Here is a 27,616-nt window from a genome sequence, read left to right as displayed (position 1 = left end):
AGAGGTTGCACTGAGCCGAGATCACACCACTGCACTCTAGTCTGGGTGATAGAGTTAGACTCATCTAAAAAAAAAAAAAATTGTCCCAGTTTCTCTCTAGAGATCTGCATACACAGTCAGCTTTTATCAAGCCTACAACACCAAAAATGTGCTATGCACATCAAGAACAATTTTTTGTGTTATATTTGCAAAATGGAGTAGAATCATGCAAATAATTCCACCCAAGTTTTCTTTATTGATTAATAGACTGGGAAGTGGCCCACATAATTTCTAAGCTCCCCCCTCACCCCACATTCCTCCTGTAAGATAGTTCCACAATTAGCTTGAGAATGCCACTCTTCATATCCAGAGATGGCACCATCAGAACTGGAAAAAGGGCTTTTGGCTAGGCAGGTAATCACTTTGAGCCTCAGTTTTCCTGTCTGTAAAAGAAGAAGAACAACCCCAAGGCTGCTTGTTAGCATGAGAAACAGAGGAAGATGGCTCACTTAAATAGAACCAGGAAAATATTTGCAGAAAGCAAGGCCAGACGGGCTGCAAAAACCTCTTGGGGGGCCTCTGGATGCAGATGCAAAGACCGAAAAGTGCAAGACAGGGAACTGGTAACAACTCTAGGTAACTTAGCTTTTTAATGAGGTAAACCTTCAGCCAGCAGCAGAAACGCTTTTACCCACAAACCAGAGGCCAGAAATGCAGTGATGCAGCCTCCAATGTTCTCACTTGGTAGTAACAGGGGGGTACAGTAAGGCCTTCCTGCTCTGTGCAGCATCATCCATTAGAAAACAAAAAAGGTACGGTAAGTGCCACTGAGCTTCTCCATTAATTGCTAAGTAAGGGGAAAAAAAGAGAAGAATAAAGTGCTTTTACCTGCTCAGCTGGCTAATTAAAAGCTGCCTGAAGCCCTGCTAACCTTTTTCATTATGGCAGTGTTCATTATAAAGCCAGAAAGAATTAACTACACTGCATTATCAGATATCGAAAAATATTAATAGCAAAAGTGAGAAAGGGAAAGAAGGAATTTTGGGCGAGTTAATTAAACCACATGTCCTCAATGACTTATTAAGTGACTGGTCGAGCTTCCTGGAGCTTGGTGAGTCCCAGAGAGCAAGGCGATGTGCTCCTGCTCCTCAGGAAATGAGTTTCCAGCCCGCGGAACTATTTTTTTTTCTTCCTCTGTGGCAAATTTTTCTTTCTTTCTTTCTGTCTTTCCAAATATTGCCAAGTGAGTTAAGTCCTGAATTGGGACCATCTTGGAGCCAACAGAAACAGGAACTCACTGAGAGCTCTTAAAGGTCACTACTGAGGGATGGCTTTGGCGGTGAGTTTTCTCTATCGTTCAGCAAAACCCTTTTAGTTCTGCAACTGAACAAGTGAGAACATTTTATAATGAGGTCTCTTTGCTACTTTTGTAACCAAAGCCCATGAATGAGTTCATGACAGGCCTGCCACCCTTATCACATTCCCTTCAACAAGGCCTGGTACAACAGTCTGGCACAGGGCATTACACTGGGATTTGCACTTAGGGCCTTGAGAGCTGTCTGGAGTAAGCAGACTATCGACTCTCCACCTACAAAGAAGCCGTACGCACAACTCTGTTCTACAAAACCTCTTTGTGTGAGTTCAACTGTGACCACAGGATGGATAAGGTAAGGTGGGGAGAAATAACATCTTCGATGGTGGAGGGAACAAGAGAAGGAATATAAGCATTTTCATTTAGCAAAAAAGCAAAATTGATGATGAAGAAAATGTAGTATTGATTTCTTTTTTCTTCCTGCTGGCACTGGAACTTTAAATGAAGTCATAGAGCAATTGAGACTCCAACTTTGATTGGTTGTGTTTCAGCGTAATTTCATTTTAAGAGTCTAGTTTGCATGATTAGTGGTGACATGCGGAGGTTTCTCCTTAGGCAGAGTAAAGTTATCAATTTTCCAACATGCCATCATGACGATCAGACATTGCTCTAGAGAGCTCCCACTCTGTACTTGTCATTGAGTTTCTTCCCTGGGCCATACTGTGACCCCAATAACAGCTCTGCTCAGAAACTCAATGAGCAGTGCCACTTGCCCAAAGAGGAGCTTTCCAGGAAATGGGTGTGAGTGATGGTGTATCAAGCCGCAGCCTACATGGATTTAGTGGGGACAGAAAAGCTTTGGCTGGCATGTGGAAGAATGCCAAAATTGTTGCAGGGCAGGGAAGGGAGGTTAGGCAGAATGGATAAAGTCATAAAAATGGATCCAATGGTCGTGTCTCTTCCCAACATTATCAAAAGCTGTGTTTGCACACATAGCTTCTTGCATTTTGCCAGTCCACTATCTCCATTCTGCAGTCCGTGGGAGCACAACAGTCAGTGCCATAGGGCTTTCCCCTTGTGAGTTATGCATGTAAAGCAAAGCATTTAGAATAGTACCTGGCATTTGGTAAGCACTCAATAAATGTTATTGATTCTTCAGCATCTTGCATCTTTATCTGGAACTTCTTGTGGGCTTTTAATTCTTGAGATTTCCTGAAAGGAGAAATCTAGAGATAACACTGAGGAGGATATGAACATCAAATGTTGAATAATTCTTTAGAGATTGATTGCCACATTGAATGCCAAAAGCATTTTTCCATATTTGGCAAAATCCTTAACCTTCTGTTTTTTTAATCTATCCTTCTGGGGGTGGGGAGAGAGGTAAGAATAAGTGTTTTCTGTTTTTTCCAGACTTGAAACCAGGGTTAAAGTGGGACACCAGTTGCTTCCGGGAGTCAAACCTCTCTGCAGGGGTTCTGACTACTCTCTCTTTTTCTTAGGGATAAACACAAAGGGTGGGCTCCTTTGCCCAAAGGCCAAGAGGAATGCCTTGAGTCTGGACCATATAACAAAAACCTTTGGAATTCAGTGACTGGGAACCTGAAGAGAAGTAGAAAAGAAGTTGGCCACAGGCCCTCTGTGTAGAAGGCCAGGTTTCCAAATATATTGTGCATGTTCCTACTTCCTTATCTTGGCTTAATCTCCTCAACCCTTTATTCCTTTTTGTATTCTTCTTCCAAATACCATCTTCCAAGCAAGTCCCAGTTCAAGGTCCATGACCCCAAAAAGTCTTCTTTGAGTAGGCCCAGTCCTTGTTGACTTTTTCTCCTCTTAACTTCCTTAGTGTTATCTGAACTTCCCACACTTACCACCCTGGATTATTCAGTCTATCACTCTCTTTATCTGAGAAAGTTTGACAGCCTCATGATATAAATCTCTTCTCTGGTTATGTTGGGCTCTGGAATGGTCATTAAAAAGTGTCCCTCTGGTTGGGTCCATTGAGCTTCTATTGCCTTTTGTTCCTGTCCATATTACAGCAGGGATTTTATAGCATTTTAGTGAGTCACCCGTGTTGTTGTCCATTCTATTTGTGAGCATCTGGAAGGAAAGCATCATGTATTTATCTTCATATATTTATCATGCCAGGAACAAGCACACTCAATGCATGTTTGTTGGATCAATTTGAATTGACTTGAATTGCACTTACTTTGTATCTACATAGGACCTAACTTGGTACTGGGCAGTCTGGACACTCACTGAATATTTGCAGTGGAGTCTGAATTAACTCCCCCATAAACTCCTCCCAGTTCCCTCGCATTATGCTGATGTTTCATGACTGCATAGTGAAGACGTACGTGGTTTGCTGGGCTCCAATAAGCTTGCTCACCTCAACCATTCTGGCCACAAAATAGACAACCCTAAGAGCCCAATGCTCTCCATTTCCCCTTTTATCTCTGTAACTCAGTTTACCTCTATATTCTAAGGAACCATGTAACTATTTAGAAAGACACTAAAGATATGTTTTGAAGGTCATGCTTAGGTTTCCAGGCATTCTATATGTAAGATAATTTTCCTCAATCGTCTCACAATCCACGTAAAACATGAAAATAATCTATATATGCCCCATTCTAAGTACAGTAGGTACTATCCACTTAATTTGTGACTTTGGACAAGCTATTAACCCTTCTGAGCCTCATGTCTCTTCTTATGGGATTAAATCAGATCCTGGGTCCCTTCCACTCTAACAGTCATTCCTAACTCCCTTCTCTCTTGCCTTCTCCCAACTTATGATGATGAATGAATACATATCAATATATTTTTTTAATTTGCTTTCTCAGGTCTCCATACAATATGACTAGTTCAGAATTTGCACCCTGTGTGACCAATTCTGGACAGAGGAGTAATTCAGCTCAGGGGCTTCTGGGGCAAAAAAGGAAACAAAACAAACAAAACAAAAAAACTGCTTTCCAAGATAAAATGGACAGAACCCAACTTGAATGAGGACCTGTTAGGCATCTAATGATAATGAGATGGTGAACACGAGGACCAAAACAACTCAACCCACCAAGGATGGTGGCGTGCCTGACTCCTCTGTGACAGCATAGAGCCATGGGGCCATCACACTTAAGGAATCATTAATGCCTTCATGGGTTTAAACTACTATTAGGCAGGAATTATGTTAATTGCCTCTGAAAGTACCTCTGAAATGCCCTTTCCAATTTCTAGTCAAGTGGGTTCATCAGATCATTTGTTTTATTCTCTTGGATCCACTCCATGAGTCTAACCCCAACTTGACCAAACTCACAGGAACACACACACACACACACACACACACACACACAATTTGTAAAGTGCTTTCTATTATACATGTTTCCATGTACATTATCACATTTGATCCTTCTATCAACCCTGTGAGGTATGTATTATAATTTCCCCTGTTTCATACCTGAGGAAACTCAAAGCAAGTTCCAATCACTTTACTGACTCCAAATACAAGACACTCACACAACTCAATGACAAGTCAGGTCAGCATTCTATACCCTTCATCTTCAACAAAGCACCCCTGTCCCTTCCCCATCCTGGGGTCCAGGCAGAGAATGAGCCTTCATAATCTCAGAGAAAGCTCAGAAGCCCATAAAGCTCCTTTAGGAGAACCATGTCAGAGATGATGCTTCTCCTGCCCCTTGGTGCTCAGCAACCCTCAGTGGAGAGGGGTCAAAGACTGTCTCCCAGCCTGGGTCCAGAGCACAGGTAATTAATAGATGATCATGGCGATGGACAAATGCAGACTGACAGCAGGCTTACCTTCCTTATAACCTATTCCTTGGCTAACATTAGTTCTACAGCAAAACCCGAGCTTTGTTGACATGTCGTTTCTTTTCATTAATAAATAACTGCCTGAAACAATTACACTTTAGGAAACTAATCTTATTTTTCTCTTTCCCTCTAAAAGGTACCAAAAATTAAAAGCAAAGATGCTTAAATCAACTGCAGTCCTTCTGGGCAGATGTTCCTAAATGCAATCCATCTAAGAGGAAAGAGTTTTTGAGGGAAGGGTGATCACTGGGCCTCTACATGCCACACCCGGAAGGCCCAGCAGTGGGGCAAGGATAGAACACACAGTTTGGCGATGTGACCCTGCCTGTCTGCACACCTCAGGATCCCACCACCCAACAGGCATACATCTCCTGGAGCTACAGGTACAAGTCATTTTTTAAAATTAATATAGTATAATGAAAAGATTGTGATGCTTTGAAATCAAGCAGTCCTGATTTTGAGTCTGGATTCCACCATTTATTAACTGTCTGTTTTGCAAAAATTATTTAACCATTCTGAATTATTCATCTATTGTTGAATAACAAAGTACTCCAAAACTTAGTGGCTTAAAACAATATGCATGTATTACCTTACAGTTTCTGTGGGTCAGGAATCTAGATGCAGCTTAGCTGGGTGCTCTGCTCACAATCCAGAAGTGAGCTGGGGCTGCAGTCTCATCTCAAGACTTGACTGAGCTCACTCATATGGTTACTGGGTGGGATTCAGTCCCCCTCAGTTCCTTGCCATACAGGCCTTTCCATCAGGCAGCTCACACCATGGCGGCAAGCTTTCAGCAGAAGAAGCTAACTAGAGAACAAGATGGAAGTTACAGTCTTTTTATAACCTAATCTCAGAAGTGCCATCCCACCACTCTTGTTGTATTCTGTTTATTAGTAGTAAGTCACTAGGTCTTGGCCACACTCCAGGAGAGGGGATTACCCAAAGACATGAAAGTCACAAGGCTGGATCATTGGGAGCCATGTTCCAGCTGCTTGCCTACCATGACTGCTGAACCTCATGTTCTTCAACTATAGTGAGCATTATAACAACTACCTCAAAGGGTAGAGAAGGAACCAAATAAGACAGTGTGAAGGCGAGTGCCTGGAAGAGTATGTGGCACACAGGAGATGGTTAATAGAAGATAACTGCCCTCCCCTCCTCCTCCTGCCATGGAACCCTGATAAGTTCAGTGGTTCACTTTCAACAATGAAGGAAAGGGATGTGAGCAAGTAAGTCAGAGGGTCTCAGAGACCAAAAATGTTGGCAAGGGGAGCATTTGGGTTCTCCGGACAGGGTCAAAGGTCAACCTTGTGCCCTGAGGCACAAGATTGGAGGGAGTCCTAGCAAGGAGGCAAGAACCTAAAGCCAGTCTGGGTTATCATGAGGGTACGAACGAGGACTGAGCTAAGGGCAAGGAGCCTCCTCTGCTTGGTGTGACCCAGAACCCCTGGCTCCCCAGCACAGGCCAGTCCTCCAGCCTCCCCATTGGCTTCTGACAGCCCCGTGCACATTTCAGAAGGGCTCCATAATCATTTACGGATGTCCCTTCTTCCCCCAAGGTCAGCAGGCTGTGGAACTGGCTCTGAGCATTGATCACTCTCACTTTCCTTTTCTAATTCTCACCAGTTCATTAAAGATTGACCTTCTGGGCTTCTACAGCTACTGTGGATGTCCAGCCAGAGAGACCATTATATTTTAAAGGCTGTTAAACTGTCCAATGATATTTTAGCTTCTTTTTTTATATTTGATAGCAAATCATCAATCACTTTTGTAAACTTCCAAGTAAAAACGAGGAAGAAAAAGATGGAGAATTATATGAAATTATAGTGGAATGAAGCAGTTAAATTTCTCTCTATCAGTTGAGGCAAGGCGAGGTGAGGTGAGATGATGGTCAATTATCTTTTTCCACTCACTGATGGATTGCCAGCACCATTGAGGCTGTCAGCGCCTGAGTCATGACAAGCAGAGAGGGGCGTCAACATGACAAGAGAACTGGGAACACAGACCAGCTTTGCAGATGGAGCTGGGGCTTCTCCAACCCAAACCTGAATGCACTGGCCAGGAATATTAGCATGGGTCCTGACCATGTCCTGGGATACCCCCTTTCTCTTCTGACCACTGCCCCTACGACATCAGCCCCCTCCCCCATTTTGCTCCAAGAACAGCAGTGTCAGTCCTCAGCACCATGCTGGTCTCCACCAAACTGTCCAAGACTGACCTCATTATTCTCTCACATGCCTTATCTGAGTTAATGGCACCATCATTCACCCAAGCTATTTAACTAGAAACTGCATCGTTGTTGTCCCAAACACCTCCTCTTTCCTTGCCTCCTCCACCCATTAATTTGTCTCTGAGTCTGCTCTATTGCCTAATGCAATTATTTGTCACCTCTGCCACCTCCTCACCACCCCCATCTGCTGTGCCTCAGTCCAGGCATGTACCACTACTTCTCTAATCAATTGAAAAAGCCTCTTAACTGGTTTCCATAGGTTTAGTGTCCACACACACATACGCAGTCACCCATGCACATTCACACACTTATACACACATTCACACTCAATCATACTGATTCACCCTCAACCATACACACTCACCCACATACACTCATACATACACTTGCATACTCACACACTCACCCACTCACACTCACTCACACATACACACTTGCTCCCATTCACACAGATACACACATACACTTACACATATACTCACATACTCTCACACTCTCGTGCACGTCTCCATGCACCTTTCCAAGCTCATTTTGCTTCTTAAGCCGTAGGGCCTGTAAGTGATTGCATCTCTTCCCTGCTCAGACTGCAGCACCTCCCTCTTGCTCAGAGATGAAGCTAAGACCCCCTGCCCTGATACACCTGCTGCACGACTTCCCACAGTGTCCCCAACACACCTTCACCATCACGCACAGAGGAGCCTACTTGTCTCTCACATGCTCTTTCTTATTTCTATGGCTTTTTTTTTTCTGTTTGTTCTGCTACCAGAATTTCCTTTCCCTTCTAGTCCTGCTGGCCAACTTCTACCTATTCGTCAAGACTCAGATCAAACATCGCCTCTTCCATGGAGTTCCTCCTGACTCCCCTGTAGCAATTAGCCAGTCTCTACCCTGGGCTTTCAGGGAACCATGCAATTCCTCCACTGCATTCTGATTTTTGAAAATATATTCCCCCCTCACTAAATTACAGGATCCTTGAGCAAATACCAAGGCTATTCTCTAGCAACTCATCATCCTAGGGGCAAGGGCAGTCTGAATGTTTATTGAGTTAATGAATTGCCATGGACCATGGAGAAAGACAAACTTTTAGGTTAAAACATTGCTCTCCTACCTACTAGTTCTGTGACCTCAGCAAGAGTTCTGTGTCTTTGAGCTTTATTTCTTATCTATTAAATAAAAATTATTACTACACCCCTACAAGAACAGAATAAAACAATAAATCAGATCTGGAAAATATTCAACTATTGGAAGGATGAGGAAAGGAAAGGTATTTGAGATGAAGCTGAGATTTCTGGGAATAACATGAGTGAATGAAGTTTCCATGAACTAAGAGAGGGAATGTTAGGTAAGGAACAGTGCAGTAAAGAACCCAATACATAATGGGTATTCAAGTTCTACCTTCCTTATGGAAGTCTCGCAGTTAAAGAATAAGAGGAAATATTAAGCAGGTCCCTTAAATCTTATTTCTTTCAGTTACTACTTGTTTTCTGTTAATGACTTGGATAGATGCCAAGGCATATGGTTGGGGACAAACACACACACACTATATATACACATACATATATATGTGTATATATATATGTACGTATATATGTATGTATATATGTATACATATATGTGTATATACATACATATATGTGTGTATATATACACACATATATATATTTGATACATATTTGATTTCAATGTCTCTTACAGACTCTAAGACAAACACACCGAGGGATCTGATCATCCCTCAAAGTGGCTGCTAACTTGCTTGCCTGGCACCACATCATGTGTACACACAAATACAGCTGGGTAGGCAGGTAGAGAGTGTGGGCTGCTTCAAGCCAGCCTGTGCCAACTTGGCCCATGACACCAGGGGCCCTGCTCTTGCAGGAGGGCTGGGTTTAATGCTCTCCTTCCCTGGGAAGCAGGCTCAAAGGGACAGCGGCTCATCTGGAGCCCCCACTTCCTGGCCCTGACACAGTTGGCCCTGCTCCCAGGTTGGGAGTTGCTGCCTGGGGAACAATGTGTGGGATAGAGAGCAGGAAGTACTAGCTAGGATACCATGGCCTGCAGGTAGAAGGGTTGGATCAGCTGGGAATGGTTCTGTGAGCCAGGAAAAGATGTTCAGAGAGTTCTGGAAAGTAAAGAAAGGAGAAAGAGGACACAGCCCAGCTACCAGGACTCGGGGACAGGAAGGAGACAGGAAGACCAGAGAATTCTAAGAGCAGAGAGAACCCAGATATAACAGAACATTTGGCAAAGAAACAATCCAAATGCAGAGTTGGTTGGACTGGGCTGGAACAGGGTGGAGGATGCTTATCTGGGGGTCAATGTTAGCACAAAAATGCCAAGCCTTCCATAACACTCTTTTTCTGCGAATCAGACAAGCCCTGCCTGAATAGTGATGATCTGGAGGCACTGAACTGAACAGGAGAAAGGGCAGCACCTCTGCCCATGAGGGCAGGTCCCATTCTTCACAAGCATTATAATGAGTTGTTCATGTCAGTCCCCATTCATATCTATCACCCACAGATATCAGCAGAACAACCAGCACCAGAGGCATTTGATTCCTACTACATTACAGCTTGGAATAAAGCAGCTAGGTTTTCTTGCCTGGTGTCACTATCCGAGTCACATCCTGTCTACTAACTCCTAGGCTAGCATAGAAGTTAAGGGATAGAAGATACTATCTAACACATCTAGTCCCACCTGCTTTTTTCAGACAAAACAAAGTTTCTAGAAAGGTTAAGTGACTGTTCAAGCTAATATGACTACTTTGTGCTAGAGACAGAACTGGAATTCATTCTTTTAACATTCAATAGAAGATTCTCCTCATTCTACCAAATAACAAGCCTCGTACTGTAGGTAGTCTGGAATTTAACTTTTTGGGGAAACTACTCTTTTATTAGGAAAAAAAAATCACTGTAAAAAACATTTTACCAATGCAAACTTAAGGCAATGGCATACCAAGATTCTTGAGGAAGATCTACCTGGGAGCTATGAGTAACCCAAATACTGATGTTTCCAATTGAACCTTCAAGTGTCCTGTTTAGTATTACACACTTAGAGCAATTCATCCTATTTCCCTACATATTTTGTTGGAAAATATTTCTTCTCATAAATCTAAATTTCAGGAGAGATATGACTGAAAATTACTGTGTATTTCTGAGACATATCCGTATGGTTCTTGTATTAGCCAATAATTCGCTCCCCCAAAATCAGGTATGGAGACTGCAGGAAGAGACATGTGGACCTTTACTTTGAAGCAAAGAGTAGAACTGGACTAGATCTGGCATAGTACAACCTAGACTAGACTGTTCATGTCAGCATAGGACATTATCTCATGCTTTATAAGACAGAATTTGTTTAATGCCTTGTGAAACCATTGTATTGATATTTGAGGTTATGCAGACAGACATAACATTGAGGGTGAGTTGAGATTTTCCCTGAATGTAATAAAAATAGATATTCTCACCTTTAGTCATTCTAGGGCAAGGTTAATCTTGGGACAAAAAAAAATGAAGTACAACAAATAATGCCTACCTTACCATTTAGAGAATCAGAATCAGTTGATCTGGAATCAGGAGAGTTGGGGTAGACATGACACCTGCTACATAGAAGCAAATCAGCAGGTAGGCAGTGGTCCAGCCCAGTAAAAGACTCTGGGGTTGGTTCATGCCCATAGATTCTAAGGATAGTCAATCCTACAAATAATGAACTTCTCTCATAGTCAAGGGTTTGGTGAAAGTTTATTCAAAGTCATAGTTTGACCTCATTTGAGCTGAAAGGAATTAGAAAACACTAAACCCCATGTTTAAAAAGGAGAAGCCAAGAGAAGAATGGCTGTACCTCTCCCTGAAGACAACATTAGGGTTATCAATGACAGCTTCCAGCCAAAAAGTTAGACCCAGACAGGCAATGATAGCTGTGGCATTATCAGAAATAGGAACAGTAATAGTGCAGCAAAATTAAGAGGATCAAAGAGACCAGAGAAGAGCCTGAAGTTCTTATTTCAGAAAAGAAAGAGTGGGGATGGGCAATTCAATTGGTTACTAATTTGAGGGGCAATTAGGCTAATGGGAAAATATACCGGGCATTAAGTTTACTTTGGCTGTAAGCAAGAGCAATCAACTCTGGCTAGCATATTACACTCTTCTTTAAAAAGTAGGGATGAAGGTTTTATTAGAAGGATCATTGGACATCTCACAGAACAGAAGTAAGAATAGGAAAATCAAAACCCAGGAAGGAAAAGCCAAAGGAATTGACGGAACCTCTGTATGAGGTGCAGGCACTTCTATGGCTAGTTTCTAATTTCCAATCAACTCTGTTTCTCTCCTTTGCAAAATAAAAATCCAAAAAGCAAATAATTGAAATGGCTTGAGTGATCATTAGGGCAAGAACTATAGAGATCTACCCCTGTGGGTAATGGGAGGGAGAAGATTTTCTCCCTTTCTACATTGCACAGGTTATAATGTAAGAACTGCTTCCTTCACAGAAACATTACCTGCGTTTTTACTCCATTTACTCCTGCCCCTTCTCACCTGTCTCCAGGAGGACAGTATTAGTTTTCTATCATTGCATAACAAATTATCAGAAACTTAGCTACCTAAAACCACATGCCTCTGTTATCTTGCAAGTTTCTGTGGTCAGGAGTCCAGATACATCTTAACTGAATCCTCTGCTCTGGGTCTTACAAGGCTGTAGTCAAGGTGTTGTCTGGGCTGTGTTCTTATCTGGAGGCTCAACTGAGGAAGAATCAATTTCCAAGCTTATTTCAGTTTCTGGTAAAGTTTATTTTCCTGTGGCTATACCCTGAGGACCCTGACTTTTCAATGGTGTCACCTAAAGGTGGCCCACATTTCATAGAGGCTGCTCCAATTCCTTGCCACGTGGGCTTCCTCAACATGGTGGCTTTCAAGCCAGTGAGGGGAATCTTCCTCTCAGTGGATGACCCAATCCCTCTTCTAAGAGATTTTACTTGATGAAGGCAGGCCCATCAAGTATAATCTCCCTTTTGATTAACTCTAAACCAACTGATTTTTAACCTTAATTAGGTCTGCAAAATCTTTTTCTTATTCTGTTGACAAGAAGCAAGTCACAGGCCTGCTCACACTTATATAGGGTGTGAATCCAGGAGTGGGAACCACTCTGACTCTCCCCACTTATCCCTCATGGGACAAGGTGTTGAACTGATATTTGTGTCCCCAGAAAAGGCTTGAGGGAGTCAGAATAATGACAAAGACCCACATGTGAAAAAGCAGGTAGGCTGGCATGTGGCAGAGCATGTCCATGGCCACACATATCCCAGCCTTCCCCCTTTGTAAGAAGATTTTGGGGAGTTTCCAGTTGCACACAGTATGCAAAAAGGCCCTCTTACATCAATGCTTACTCTAGATGTTTGCCATAGAAGCTCTACCCTTTCCAAAATCAAGGTGAAGGCAAGACGGCCTCTTCCAGCTCCCAAGGTAAGTGACGTGCTATGTACTTTTTCCCTCCCTTATACTAACCTATTTGTGTCAGGCCCTAGCAGCCTGCAACTACCAAACATTTTTCAGTTCTGTTCTACACCCAATTGTTAAGCATGGAGGAAACACCTTAGGGTGGCTGCCCAGATAAGAATTCTTCTCACTCCTTTGGCACCTGCCCTCCAAACACATGTTTGAGGCTCTAAGTCATCACAACTCTCTCCCCTGAGGTCTGAAGAAATTAGAAAATAGAGGAATCAGATAGAGATCAAAGTACCAGTTTTGTGAGTGGTAAACCTGTATAGAAAAACAAGGTTTGGAACTGGGGCCAACGTACGTTTTCTTTCCTTCTCTCCTGAACTGAAATTCCCTACTTAGGCATAGACAGAGAAATTAAATGACTGCTGAGCTGCCCTGGTGAATTTACTAGGAGGAGGAGATAAGAGTATTTGTGGTCTGAGTGCAGGCAGATGAGAAAGAGTGACAAACGATGAGAGAGAATGAGAGTGCACATGACCAGATGGAGACCAAAGGCTAACTGGCTCTACATCTCATTGGTTGTGAGTCCTTTTGGTAGGGACATGACCAGGGGAGGGGCTACTTCACAAGAGCCATTATTTCTAACCAGAAGAGAATCTGAGGCACAGAGTGGGTGAGGGACCAGCTCGAGAACACACAGGAGTCAGAAGCCAAAGGGAGAGTTAGACTCTCCTCTGTGGCCCCTGACTACACTGCCCCCTTAATATACAGCAGAGGTGAATTAACTCTTCACATCTCTAGGACCTCCCAAGAAACAAGCTGGTGATGTAAATAAGCCAGAAAACCAGGGGCACGCGGGGGTCAGTTCCTGGGGCACCTCAGTTAAGATGGTTAATAACCACAGCAACATGATTTATTACTTAGCACTCTCAGGGAGCCTGCTGTCACTGCAGGCGCCTCCCTCCCCAGCCCAGTTCCCTTCATTTGCATAGATAATGGTTGTGTTATTAACATCTCATTAGTGTCAGGCCCAGGTGACCAGAAAGAAAAGCGCCTCTTGCCACTTGTATTTCAGAGAAAACCCCACCAGGACTGTTAACTCCAGGGCCTGGTGAGCCAGAAACGGGGGGTTCCTAAAACGGGAGTCACAACTCTTTTTTAACGACAAAGGACAACTCTAAAATCACATCAATACATATAATAAAATCTCTTAAATGATGTACCCTGAATATCATGTCACAAAGCTTGCATTTTACTTAGGGAGTCTTCCTCCCAAAACCCATAATCCCATCTAATCATGAGAAATACAGACAAAAATACTACCTTTGAGGGTCATTCTACAAGATGCCTGACCAGTAACCCTCGAACTGAAAAAGTCATCAAACACAGGGAAGGTGTGAGAAACAGTCACAGCCAAGAGAGGCCTCAGGGGATGTCACCTCCCCATGCAATGTGGGTGGGGTTTGGAATAGAAGAGGTACATTAGGAAAAACTAAGGAAATCTAAATAAACTACAGCCATAATAGTAATTTCTGAATATTGGCCTATTAATTGTAGCAAATGTGCCATGTTCATGTAAGATATTACTAATAGAAGTAAATAGGCACTAGACACATGAGAACTCTGAACTATCTTCACAGTCTTTCTGTAAATCTAAAATAATTTTCCAGCCTGGGCAACATAGGGGACTCCATCTCTGGACACAAATAATAATAATAATAATAATAATAATAATAATAATAATAATAAAAATTTGCCAGGCACAGTGGCTCATGCCTGTAATCCTAGTGCTTTGGGAGGCTGAGGTGGGCAGGATCATTTGAGCACAGGAGTTTGACACCAGCCTGGGCAACACAGCAAGACCCTGTCTCTACAAAAATTAGCCAGGCATGGCTGTGTGCACCTGTAGTCCCAGCTACTCAGGAGGCAAGAGATGGGAGGATCACTTGAGCCCAGGAGTTCAAGGCTGCAGTGAGCCACGATTGTACCACTGCACTCCAGCCTGGGTGATAGAGTAAGACCCTGTCTCAAAAAATAATAATAATAAAATAATAAAATAGTTTGATTTTGCTTTTAAAAGAAGTCTCTTTCATGAATGTGGCACATTCCGATATATGTTATGTTATTATTCAAACCATCAGTGGTGAGCCTCAGAGGGATGTGGTGTGGTAGGTAAAAGTATCATTACATCTGTTTTACAAATAAAATAACTGATACTTCAAGAAATTAAGAGACTTGCCGAAGGACACATAGCTACCAAGCCCAAGAGCTTAGTTTCTAATTCAAGGCTTATGACTCAAAGGCTCGTGTCTTTCATCAAAGCAAATGTTATCATCTCAGGGAAGATAAAGAAGACAGTGTGAGTTTCTGGCTGATGGCCCAAGTGGCTGGCAGTAGGGGAGATGAAGGAAGCATATAAGAGGTCAAAGTCAAGGTCAGCCAGTGGATCACAGTCATCTTTGTGGGTCTCCTTGGTCTCATGTTCCCTCAAGCCTATGCATGAGAAAAAGCTCCCCTCTCTCTCTTTTAACCATTCCCAAATCTCCCCCACATCCTAGATGTGGAAATACAATCCAGAATTCATTTGAAGTATTTTTGCCCAGCCAGAAAAGCACAATGACATAAAGATCCTTCTTTCTCTTTTCACCTGACCTCAAAACCTCACCCCACAGAATGTCAGCACCAGTCCTGGCCTAGAAGATTGTGGTCTAGGCCTACATAAAATGAGTCAATGGGTGACAAGGAAACTAATTCTAGCTCCATTTCTGTCTCTTGTGCTTTCTTCAAGCCCCTGCAGCTTTCAGATCCAGCTAGAATTAAATAGGAGCAAAGAGGAAGAACTTTCTGTAATTCAGCTTGGCAAGTGTTAGGAGAGGGCTGATAGTATCTATGGGAGACATAGGTGATTAGGTCCTGCTGTTGTCCATGGGAGAAAATGAAGCAAGAGGAAGGAAAATATTTTGCATGGGGAAAGAGCACTGAAGTGCTCCTAGTTTTAACCCAAACCAATTGTTGACCTTCACAAGTCATTTTTGATCTTGCTGGGACTCAGTTTCCTCTTCTGGAAAATGAAAGGTTTGGGCTAGGCAATCTTTGTTTCCTCTGAACTTGGGCATTCTGTGATCTAAAACAGAGTCCAGGGGTTCTCATCGACTGGAATAGAAATGAATAGAAGTGTAGTCATTGAATCAGATCCTTACAGTGCACCTGTTTTGATGACTAGAGACATCTCTGGTCACTTCTCCATAAGGAGAGATATGCTCAGATAATCATTTAACTCTCCAAGAGTTATTGAGCAAATGCCCACTGTTTTCATGATGCCACACTACACAGCGAATTAAAGATAAAGGGGATATTGGGGGCATCAAAACATGATCAATTTTTTAAAGAGCTTACAAGTTACTAGCTCATCCCATGGAATCTAATCCCACAATTAATAACACATCAAGTTACCTGCTGTGTCCTAAGTATAAACATTCTGTAATGAAGATATACCATGTGGGCACACATTTGAGTCTATATATATGTATGTACGTGTGCACATTCCACCCGTCATAACCCAGCCGGAATCTCCACTTGCCTTATCAGGAAATATCTCCTGGAAGAAGTGGGATCTGAAGGATAAGAATATGTCCTCAGGGATGTACCGATACCCAGTGGGGCTACAAAGCAATGGGAAATCTGACTCTCTGAAGAAGTCTTCATCAGACTTTGGCCCTAGGGAGAGTGGGGCTTAAATCAGGGTTAGGCTGTGTGGAGGGGTCCTCACCAGCTCCCCCGGCTTTGCTTCATGTCCTCCCTTGAGTCATGCCTTCCTCCTCCCTCCTGTCTACCTCTCTCCCCCTGTTCTGCTCTCTGCATACATTCCCCCCCCCACCACCACCACCAGCCACATACTTCCTTGTCCCAGACTCTCCTAAGGACAGCAAATTACTCCTCTCATTTTAAAAAATGTAATCAACCGCATTTGATCCAGCAGGTGCTTTTGTCAGGATGGGTTTAAAAAAAATAGGTCTAAAACAGCGGATAAAATATAAATTAAAAAAGAAGAATGGGTCTGGTTACAATCAATAACCCCAGAATTATTGACTCCTCTCCCCATTACACTGTGATGCCGCTGTAATCTTGCTGTCAGATTCTATAAAGGACGCATCTGCGCAAGATGAGATGTCCATTGTCAAAAGTTATAATTCTCTCCAACAGAACTCCCATAACAACAGCAAGGCAGTTTCTGCAGAGCGTTCTGGTGTCTGAGAACCACATGACATCACTCTCTAAAACCCATTTTGTGTCTCTGCACCGGGGCCATCTCTGTCCTTAGCAAGTTGGCAGGAGAAAAGGAAGTAGAACCAGAAGCCGAACTTGGTCCCAGCCTGCCGACCTGTGTTCAGGCATTTCAGGCTTTCCTTTACCCTACCAAAGCCCCTCCTAGACAGTTGTACCCCAGAGCTAAAGTCCTCCTAGAAACAAATGGATTACTCATCCCAAGGAAAAGCTGGAGCTAATCTCTGTTTTCTTGTATAAATTCTCCAGCTGGGATTGCTGCTCCTATGAATGTTTTGGCTGGGGGCAGAGTTCAGAGTTGGTTTCCAGAGATTTCGCCAGGAAAGCCCAGGGCAGGCAGTAGGCTTACATCAGCAGGAAAAAGCAACCTATCTGGACAAGGCCCCAGGAAGCCAGGCCTGTTGGCAGCAGGGCTCCAGACCCACCAGAAGTCAAGGAAAATCTCCAACCTGGAGCCGCTGACTCTTGCGGCCAGCAGCCAGCTCACTGGGACTCCTTCTGAGCTCACTGTTCAGTCCCTAGAAGACAGCACGGCCAGACGCGAAGGCCACTGGCTTGGGAGCTGCATGACTTTGACAAAACCCTCCTTCTCTGAGCCTTGTCTTCCTCATTTGCAGTGAGAGGGCTGGATGGGACAACCTCAAGAGGCCCCTTCTAAATGTATGATGAGTGATCAGTGACTGGCTCTCTCTCAGTCCTGGGTTGGGTTGGGGCTGTGACTTCTGTCACTTCTCAGCCTTCCCAATCCTTGCTGGCTGATACCCTATCCCTGATCCCAGAAAGAGCCCCTGCCTGGACAGAGGGTATCTGGGAGTCTCCCACCAATGCAGGAGAACCAGAAGGTCTGGGTGGGCCCTGCCTCTGGGGCCCTCTGTCCAAACTGAAAGCAAAGCTCTGCTGGTTCTGATTATGAAGACTTACAGCCGGGAGTGAGTTTCCTTGGCAATATTGTCTGCTGCCTTTATGAGCAGCAATTACATAGCATTTGGTACCTGGGAAGGCAACAGGCGAGAGCTGAAATGGTGAAATGCTCTATCACTCCGAGAAGCACAACGCCTTTGGTAATAAATATTGACGTTCATTAAGACAAAGCCAGAATTCAATCTGTGCTGGGGAATTCTCTGCTTCCGGCCTCAAGAATGGCCCTTATTTACAAGATGCCCCTAAGGGAATGAGCAGGCCGGCTCACCTTGCTCCCCAAGATACATTTTATTCAACCGACTTGTCCTGGGCAAATGTGTGTCTGACAAGCCAATTTGAAAACGAATTTGGTACATTTTTTGAGTTGATTATTTATTCTGAAAATGAATGCCCATTCTGGTGAGCTGACAGCTCTAGGGATGACAGCTCTGTGCTCCTTGCTCTTCTCCTCCCCCAACGAAGCAGAAAGTGTGTGGAATTTTCCCAGGCATTGGGCTGGAAGGGCACCTCCATCCACACTCCCCAGTGCCCAGTGCAGCATATGTTCATCCTGCTGACCAAGCCAGAGTGTGAGGCCTGCGGCAGGGAGGAGTGGGGTGGGGTGAAAGCACAGTGGGGCTCCATCTGCTCCGCCCTCTCGTATGCTGCAGCTGGGCCAGCATTTGGCTCTCACAGCCCAGAGTCATCATGAGGACCTAAGACACAGAGATGGAGCCCTGGGGCAGGTTGTGGGGTAGGAAGAAGGTTTCCTACCTCCATTTGATTTCTCAACTTCCTGTACCTTGCTTTCACTATTCTTTTTTTTTTTTTTTTTTTTTTTTTTTTTAGACAGGGTCTCACTCTGTTGCCCAGGCTGGAGTGCAGTGGTGTGATCTCGGCTTGACTGCAACCTTCGATCTTGGCTCACTGCAACCTCTGCTTTCTGGGCTCAAGTGATTCTCCAGCCTCAGCCTCCCAAGGAGCTGGAACTATAGGCGTGAGCCACCAATGCCTGGCTAATTTTTGTATTTTTTGTAGAGAGAGGGTTTCACCATGGTGCCCAGGCTGGTCTTGAACTCTTGAGCTCAAAGCAATTCACCCACCTTGGCCTCCTAAAGCACTGGGATTACAGGCGTGAGCCACCATGCCCGGCCTCCTTGCTTTCCCTATTGCCTCTGATGTGTTTGATCATATTCAGAACCTCTATCCTGTCAAGATGATTCATTTTCCCATTTCATGAAAAGGTAACATGGAGGAATGTGCTCAGGGAGTGCACCCTCGCCACCTCCCCTGGCTCTGTGCTTCCTCCTCAGCCCTCCTTCCAGGGTGCTCAGGGGCCCTCAATTTCTGGTATAGTCCTGGAAGGCTTCATGCAAAAGGAAGACCCCATCAGGGTGTTGAAGGATAGGGAAGTTTGGAAGGGCAGAAAGAGAGAAGAATTGTATTCCCCACGGGAGTAACTGCATGAACAGAGATGAGGATGCAGAAAGTATGTTCCAGAGATACTGAGTTGCCTGTGGTTAAAATGACATTGAAAGGAATCGGATCATGGAAAGCCTTGAATGCAAAGCTAAGAAGCCCAGACTCTAAATTTACCAAGGTGACTTCATTGCTTTCGTTCAGCACTTTCGAGTTACTTTTAGACCATGAGCCTATTCTAATGTCCTCTTGCCTAGAACCTCAGTGTACAAAGCAGATAAAGGTTAAGCTGTTCTGATTAAACATAGGTGAAGGGCCCTGAGTCTTACCCCTTACCTCACACAGAGTCACGTGAGGTGCTGGTTGAAAATGCAGGCTCATGGAATCCCTCACCAGACCTACGGATGTCTATTCTCTAGAGGTGGTGTCCTGGAATACGCATTTGTTTCTACCGTTCTTGGTGATTGGTAAACACAATGAAGTTTGAGAACCATGGCTGTAGGGCTTGATAGGGCATAGTGTAAAGACTGACAGCATGTCTTAATTTGCAAGTAAATCTTCCACCTGGCTTGACTGTATTCCCACCTATTTTACCTATCTCTCTGATGTGTAATCTGATTGTTCTGTGTCATATAAATACTCTCCCAAAGCATCATATGATTGTTCCTAGTACTGAAGCTGGAGAGGAGGGGGCTTGGAGGAACAGGGGTTATTAAAAACTCACCAACCCCAAAACTCCTGTACCTCATGTAGGGCCTCTGTGGCACTAGAAACCCCAGTTCTGAAAGCAAATGTTTGTGAGCACCTTGGAAACTACATACCCACTCTCAACAATTAGTGTGAAAGGGGTCATTCATTTCCTGGCTCAGTGGCAAGAGCAATATGGTTCAGGAAGCTGAAATCAGAAAATCTTAAGTCCAAGATCTTCAGAGACCTGCTTTCTGCCAAGAGGGTTGGGGCCCAGGCCCAGGAGCTTCAAGGAGTACAGCGTGGACCGAGAGCCATTTTCCCCCGCACCAAGTTTCAAATCAACACCCCGCCTCGAAAGGTACAGTTTCTGCCAGTTCAGTCATGTCATTATTTCTGTTTGCCAGATAGGAGAGTGAGGGGAAGCAGCCCTGAGCAATTAAATGTCTAGCCTAAGGTCACAGAGCAAGTCAACGCAGGCCCTCCGAAAGCACCAGGTCCTCCTGCCAGATTCAGGCAGCAAGTGGGCAATCTGCCCTCAGGCTCCTGCCTCAGTGCACCTTCATCTTGCCTGGCTCAGCAGCCTGGGCTGGCTCTTCCTCGACTCCCACACACCTCAGCCAACTCATCACTGCCCTGATCTAAGCCTCCCCTGCCACCCCAGCCTGAGGCCTCTGGAAATCAGGAGACACCTGCATGGGTAGATGATGGCTGTCACAAAGTGAACTCAGAGAGAAGGAGGGGGAAGCCTTGGCATTCAGCTTCCACTTCAGCTCTCAGCCCACTAATTTGGGGCAGTGAAGGGAATACAAGTGAGAGCTATGTCACCCTCTAGCTACGCTACAGTCATAGGGTGACAGAGAAGCTGTTTGCCAAGCAGATGTAGTATAATTGGACATCTATGGCTTTGAACTGACCCCCAGCACCGTCACCTGCACCCATGCCTCCTTCCTTGGGGGAACTACTGCTCTGCCATGTCAGTCACGTGATTCTAATGAGATGCCAGTCACCCCTAGTAGCAGCAGTCCAGGTCTAGCCAATATTGCTCCTCATCCACTTGGCTACAGCGATTCACCCAAGCGTGGGCATGGGACCATGTCTGCCCAATCAGAGTCCTTCCCTGGGATTTTTTTTCAGTCTGAGTGTGGTAGATGGGGCTATAGATGTAAACCTTCCCTGACACTTGGAGAAGGCCTCTCTTCGGAAGAAACAATGAAGCCAAGCAGAGACATACAGAGTGTGCACATAGGGAGAAAATATCCTAATGGCATCATGTGAATCCTGTAATCCAGTAGTAGCTGAATTAAGCTACTACTCAATTACATGTGTTGGTAAATTCTCAGTTACATGTGCTAGATAGTAAATCCTCTTCAAAAAAAAGATAATTTAAATTGCATTCCTGTTACTTGCAACCCAAGAGTCTTGATAAATATAATGGGATAGCCATAGAGCCTACTCTCACTACTCTCAGACACAGAACAAGTTTTTGTTTTTGTTTTCTTGAGATGGAATCTCGCTCTGTCACCCAGGCTGGAGTGCGTGGTGCTATCTCGGCTCACTATAACCTCCGTCTTCCGGGTTCAAGTGATTTTCGTGCGTCAGCCACCCAAGTAGCTGGGATTACAGGTGTGTGCCAGTGTGCCAACACACCTGGCTAATTTCTGTTTTGTTTTTGTTTTTGTTTTTGAGATGGAGTCTCACTATGTCACCTGGGCTGGAGTACAGTGGTGCGATCTTGGCTTACTGCAACCTCCACCTCCCGGGTTCAAGCGATTCTCCTGCCTCAGCCTCCTGAGTAGCTGGGATTACAGGTGCCCGCCACTATGCCCAGCTAATTTTTTGTATTTTTAGTAGAGGCAGGGTTTCACTATGTTAGCCAGGCTGGTCTTGAACTCCTGACCTTGTGATTCGCCCGTCTTGGCCTCCCAAAGTATTAGGATTACAGGCGTGAGCCACTGCACCTGGCCTAATTTCTGTATTTTTAGTAGAAACAGGGTTTCGCCATGTTGGCCAGGCTGGTTTCAAACTCCTGGCCTCAAGCAATCCACCTGCCTCGGCTTCCCAAAGTGCTGGAATTACAGGTGTGAGCCACTGCACCCGGCCATAACAAGCTTTTTAAATGGGCATTAAAGGTCTTTTCTTGACAAATGGAACAAGACAAGGGAGCAGGTAGGTCTAGCTAGGAGCCAGCAATAGAAGGAACCAGTGGAGTTGGGGCCAAAAAAAAATTCCAAAAATATGCCTATGGATTGAGGGCTCCAGGTCTAATTGGGGACCCGATAAATGGAAATGAAACAACATCCCTATTGCTCATTTTACCTACTGTCACCAAGGTCAGCAGTGAGGACGTAAGCACTGAATCCCACAGTGCTCTCTCAGCTCCCACCTGTCTGCAGCCCACAGCCCTTATCCCACAGCCTTCCTTCGTTCAAAGCTCCACTTCTTTGAATGGCAGACACTATCCTAAATGAGTCCCCATACTGCTGTGACCATTCTTGTGTCTCCTCAGATGGCTCCTGTTTATTCTCCCAACACGGAAGTGTGGGCACTGCTTGAGGCCATGTGCCAGGTATGCCACAACACCTTCTAGCCTGAAGTTTTACAGAAGCCCCCTCTTCCCAGACTAGAATTGTGAGCCCAAGTGCCTCTTGTGAGCTCCAATGCACATTCCTAATTTAAAGACTCATCAGCTTTCACCACATCCAGGGCCTCCTCTGATCTTCTTGGTACAGGCGTGGACCCACAACTCCCCTGCTAGCTCAGGCTCCAAATTTCAGAGCAAACAATGACTCTTTTCTTTCCTTCATCCTGCACAGCAGGTTATCGTGGTCTGTAATTTCTTCTTTATTGGTGTCACTAGGATTCTTCCCTTGTTCTTTATTTTTAATTCTTATTTCCTTAAGGCCTTTATCACCTTGTACCTAGATTTCAGCAACAGCCTCTTCTTTGCTCTTTTCAAACATTTTATTCAACAAACATGTATAAGGTGGCTTTTAGGTATCAATCCCTATACAGTCTTCCTACTCTCGAATCCATTCTGTACACAACACCAAGGTAATCTTTCTCAAGTGCTACCTTGATCACATCATTCTGGGTCTCTAAAGTCTTCAATGATTCCTCACTGCCTACTGGGTAAAGCTCACACTCATCAGTCTAGTATTCAAAGCCCTCCATAATTTGTCCCCAACCTACCTGTCTGGCCTGATCTCCTACTATTGCCTCTATACAGACTTTTTACTCCAGACAACCTGATCTATTTGCTTTCCCTTGAACAAGCACTGCACTTTTACACCTTTTTGCCTAGTCTGTTTCCTCTGCATGAAAGTGTTCCCAGCTTATTCTGTGTCTGCTCTTACTCATGTCTCAGAGCTCAGCTCAAACATGACCACCATCTTCTTCTCTTAGCATGCCAGCTAGAAGTGATTCCTATCACTTTAGACTCCTGCCATCCTTTGCTTTTAACATTTGTGCGATATCTAGCATGTGATACCTTGCACTGTGGATCGATGACCCATGCCAGGATTCCCATCATGAGATTTCTTACCTGAAACATCTGCATCAGAATCATGAAAGTGTTTGTTTAAAATGCAGGTTATCAGGCTCTGCACAAGGAATCTACACTTCCAGCCTGTAACCTCGGTGATTCTCTTGTGTACTCAGACCTGAGAGCAGCTAGCTATCTTATGAGAGTGTAAATTCCCTGAGGGCAGGAACCACATCTTACATGGCTTCATAAACATCAATACACTTAGACACTCAGGTTGAAAGGAAGTCCCAAGATCACTGAGTTCAAACTTGAATATCCTTTCAACATCACCACTACGTTAAAACTTGCTAAACTTTACAGATTAGAAGGATGTGTGTACAGAAAACATTCATGAGGTTTGGACTGAGAATGCTGTAAGAACTTATTATAACATGAGAACCTAGCCCAAGACTCAGAGTAGAAATTTTTCTCTAGTCTTGGTACCATAAACAGTTGCAGTTTTTATAAGCAATTTAGATTCATTTTTGTCTCCTGGATACTGAATTTTGTAAATGATCTCATTTCTCTCTTGTGTTGACCACGGGACTGCCTATAATAAACTCCATGGCCACCACCAGCAGGTAACTAGGACTCCATGACGTCCACAGAGCATTCTAACCTCACCCGTGACTCCACTGCCTCCTCCTAGCCTTGCTTTCCATTTGCCTGTTTTTTGTTTTTAAACTTATTTTTAGTTTATTTTCTCTTGCCATATTGTTTGCATCTTCACAGAAGGTCTTCTGAAAGAAGGCCATTTATAAGTAAATAAAATAAATTCATGAACCTGTGGGTGTGCAAATGTTTTCTGATTTTTTTTTTTACTCTGAAGAGAGAAATTAATGTGGAAAATGAATCTTCAGATCAGCAATTCTGAGGGAAACCTGGGCCAGAAAGAACAGATGGAGTAAGTGGTGCTCCGAGGTCAGAGTTGTAAAAAAATTAGGACTTGTAGAGAAAACATGTATTCGGAAAGGATGATGGAGTTTTAGAACAGGAAGAGACGAGAGTGGTTTTAGAGTGTGATCATAAGAGGCAGAAAGCAAGAAAAAGCTTTTAGAGCAGGAAGAAGTAGTTAAAACAGGGCTGGTTTCAGGGAACTAACCTTGGAGTTTTTATGCCCAGACAAGGTAGGGTCTAACTGCAGTTCCAAGGCCTCGGTGCAGAGGGATCCCACTTGGGTTTAGATGGCTGTGTGGGGGAATGAATTTAGGGCCTAGGGAGGAAGAATCTTACCTTCCCAATGGTCAAGGAACCTCAAGAAAAAACTCTGGTCCAGAATTGGAAGTTGAAAGCAAGAGTCAATGAGAAGAGACACATCTGACAAAGGACTAATATCTAGAATCTACAAGAAACTCAAACAAATCAGGAAGAAAAAGCAAATAATCTCAGTAAAAAAAAAATAAATAAAGTGAAAAAAGGACATGAATAGACATTTCTCAAAAGAAGATATACAAATGGCCAACAAACATATGAAAAAATGCTCAACATCACTATCATCAGAGAAATGCAAATTAAAACCACAATGAGATACCACCTTAACCCATTATTAAAAAATCAAAAACTACAGATGTTGGCATGGATGCTGTGAAAATGGATCATTTATACACTGCTAGTGGGAATGTAAGTTAGTACAACCTTTATGGAAAACAGTATGGAGATTTCTTAAAGAACTAAAGGTAGATCTACCATTTGATCCAGCAATTCCACTCCTGGGTATCTACGCAGAGGAAAAGAAGTCACTATATCAAAGAGATATACCTTCACACACATTTACGACAGCACAATTGATCAGTGCAAAGATTCAACCTAAGTGTCTATCAACTGATGAGTGGATAAAGAAAGGTGGTATATAATATACCATGGAATACTACTCAGCCATAAAAATGAATAAATAATGTCTTTTGTAGCAACTTTTGTAGAACTGGAGGCCATTATTCTAAATGAAGTAACTTAGGAATCAAAAACCAAAGGCCACATGTTCTCATTTATAACTGAGAGCTAAGCTATGGGTATGCAAAGGCATAAAGAGTGACATAATGGACATTAGAGACTCAGAACGGGGAGGATGGTAAGAGAGTGAGGGAGGAAAAACTACCTATTGGGTAAATGTATACTACTCAGGTGACAGGTGCACTAAAATTCTAGACCTCACCAGTACACAATTCATCCTGTAACCAAAAACAACTTGTACCCCTAAAGCCATTGAAATAAAAAATTTAAACAAAAACAAACAAATATAAAAAATAGTAGATGAAGAGAGGAGTAGAAACTAGAAACAACAGAAGTTTGCCCTATATAGGATGTCATGCTAAAATGAATCAAATAATATGTGTCCTCATATTGGTAACTTACCTAAAGTGCATGTCTTTGGTACATCAAGACCTTTCCCAGTGTAGTAATACATTATGGGAAATTCAAGTACTATAGAAGAGATGGAGATACAGGGGGCAAAACACTTTTAGAATAAACCCTTGACTTCAGGGAGCAGGCAGTGACAGGCTATCATCTAAGTAGCATGGTAAATGGCTAGGCTAAGGGGCTACCTTCCTCTTCACATTAGTAAATGCTGAACACCTTTGGGCTGACACAGCCCAAGAGCACAATGTTTCAAGTGGGCAGGAGTTAGCCTTTAGAACAGTCCCTGATGCCAGCTTAGGATCCAGGGGCCCAAAATATCATCACACATAGAAAATAGAAAGATGTTTATTGGGTGGTTGTTTATTTATTCATTCCACACTTATTGAATATTTAATGACTACTGAGCACCGGGCTAGGGATCAGAAATATGAAGGATACTAACACAAACTTTTTGCCCTTAATAAGCGCAACACATACTTCTTGCCCTTAATAAGCTCAAAGCCCATGGAGAAAATCAATATGTAAATCAAGCATGACTGTGTGTGGTATGAGTAATGCTATAGTCAAGGCATGTGCAAAGTGCTACAGTATAGGTGGGATCACAGAGGATAGAACAATTAACTCTGCCCTGGGGAGGTGGAGAAAGGGGGCATATTTGACCAGGATCTTGAAGGACGAATAGGAGTTCTGCAGACAGAATAGAGAAGAGAATATCCAAAAGTACAATGGTCTTAAATAGCAGGGTATGTTTTTGGAACCCTAATAAGTTTGGGGTGATTAGAATAGAGTGTGGAATGGGAGCAGCAAGAGATGTGGCCAAATATTTGGGGCTAGACTGTGAGGGTCCCTAATATGTCACCCTGAAGAGTTTGAACTTTGTGTTTTAAGCAGAACAATAATTTCAGACACATTAAAGAAAAATAGCTCTTGCAGTAGTCAACACCGACTGCTGGGAAATTTCTAGGATCCTGATGTCTCCTGGGAGTCCACCCTTCAACGATCAGCAGAGTGGCAGGTTTCTGATGCTATGGGTCCCAGGGGAGGTGGAGAGGCTTAGAGAGGGCATGCTAACTGAAAGGTCAATGCTGTGGGTGTAGGAAAAGCACTGAGGTGGGCCCGCCCCAGAATCCCTGTTTTGCCTGGCTGGGGACCAGCTTGAGCTGAAATGCTCCCCATTTCTGAAGGCCCAGTGTGGGCCTTCAATCTTAGGGCCCAGTCACTTCGCACAACAGCAAGAGTGAATTTGCGAGCCAGGAAAAAAATGAAAGGCTGTAGTTCTTCCTTCGAATCAAGTTGTTATTGTTCAAATGCATTATTAATGATCAGGGCTGCAATCATTTATAACACGGTCATCACAAAAGCAGCTGTTACCATTTACACATAGCTCTCCGTGAGTATGTTATTAAGGTAATATTTTACCATGCATGCGACTTGCTCAGGGGCGGCATGCCTAATGCTTGCCTTGAACAGTTCCCCCACTCCCTTCTTAGAAGTAATCACTCCTTTCCTTTCTTTACAGAGATGCCAAATGCCAGAGAAGGGAAGCAGGAAGGGAGATGAAGACAAGGAACTCTGAAAAATGGAAGCAGAAACACAGGCTGTATTTTCCCCTATCCTTCTTTTCTTTGTTCCCTTTTTTCTCTTTTGAATGAAAAATAAAAATGCAGAAAACCTCA

General features: G+C 43.7%; 2 long non-coding RNA genes across 2 annotated transcripts in view; one reads left to right on the top strand and one right to left on the bottom strand.

Annotated features, from left to right (window-relative positions):
* LINC02698 (long intergenic non-protein coding RNA 2698) overlaps positions 1-27,616 on the bottom strand; it is a 242,222-nt gene that overhangs the window by 106,987 nt on the left and 107,619 nt on the right. The gene's annotated exons all lie outside the window — the stretch shown is intronic.
* Positions 1,334-27,616, top strand: LOC107987165 (uncharacterized). The gene is made up of 3 exons (XR_001748395.2): positions 1,334-1,646; positions 5,244-5,490; positions 27,460-27,616. It is a non-coding gene; the product is annotated as an uncharacterized LOC107987165 (long non-coding RNA).

Source organism: Homo sapiens, chromosome 11, assembly GCF_000001405.40.
Source record: "Homo sapiens chromosome 11, GRCh38.p14 Primary Assembly".
In the NCBI taxonomy this organism is placed as follows: Eukaryota; Metazoa; Chordata; class Mammalia; order Primates; family Hominidae; genus Homo; species Homo sapiens.
This window is presented reverse-complemented; position numbering and strand designations above follow the sequence as displayed.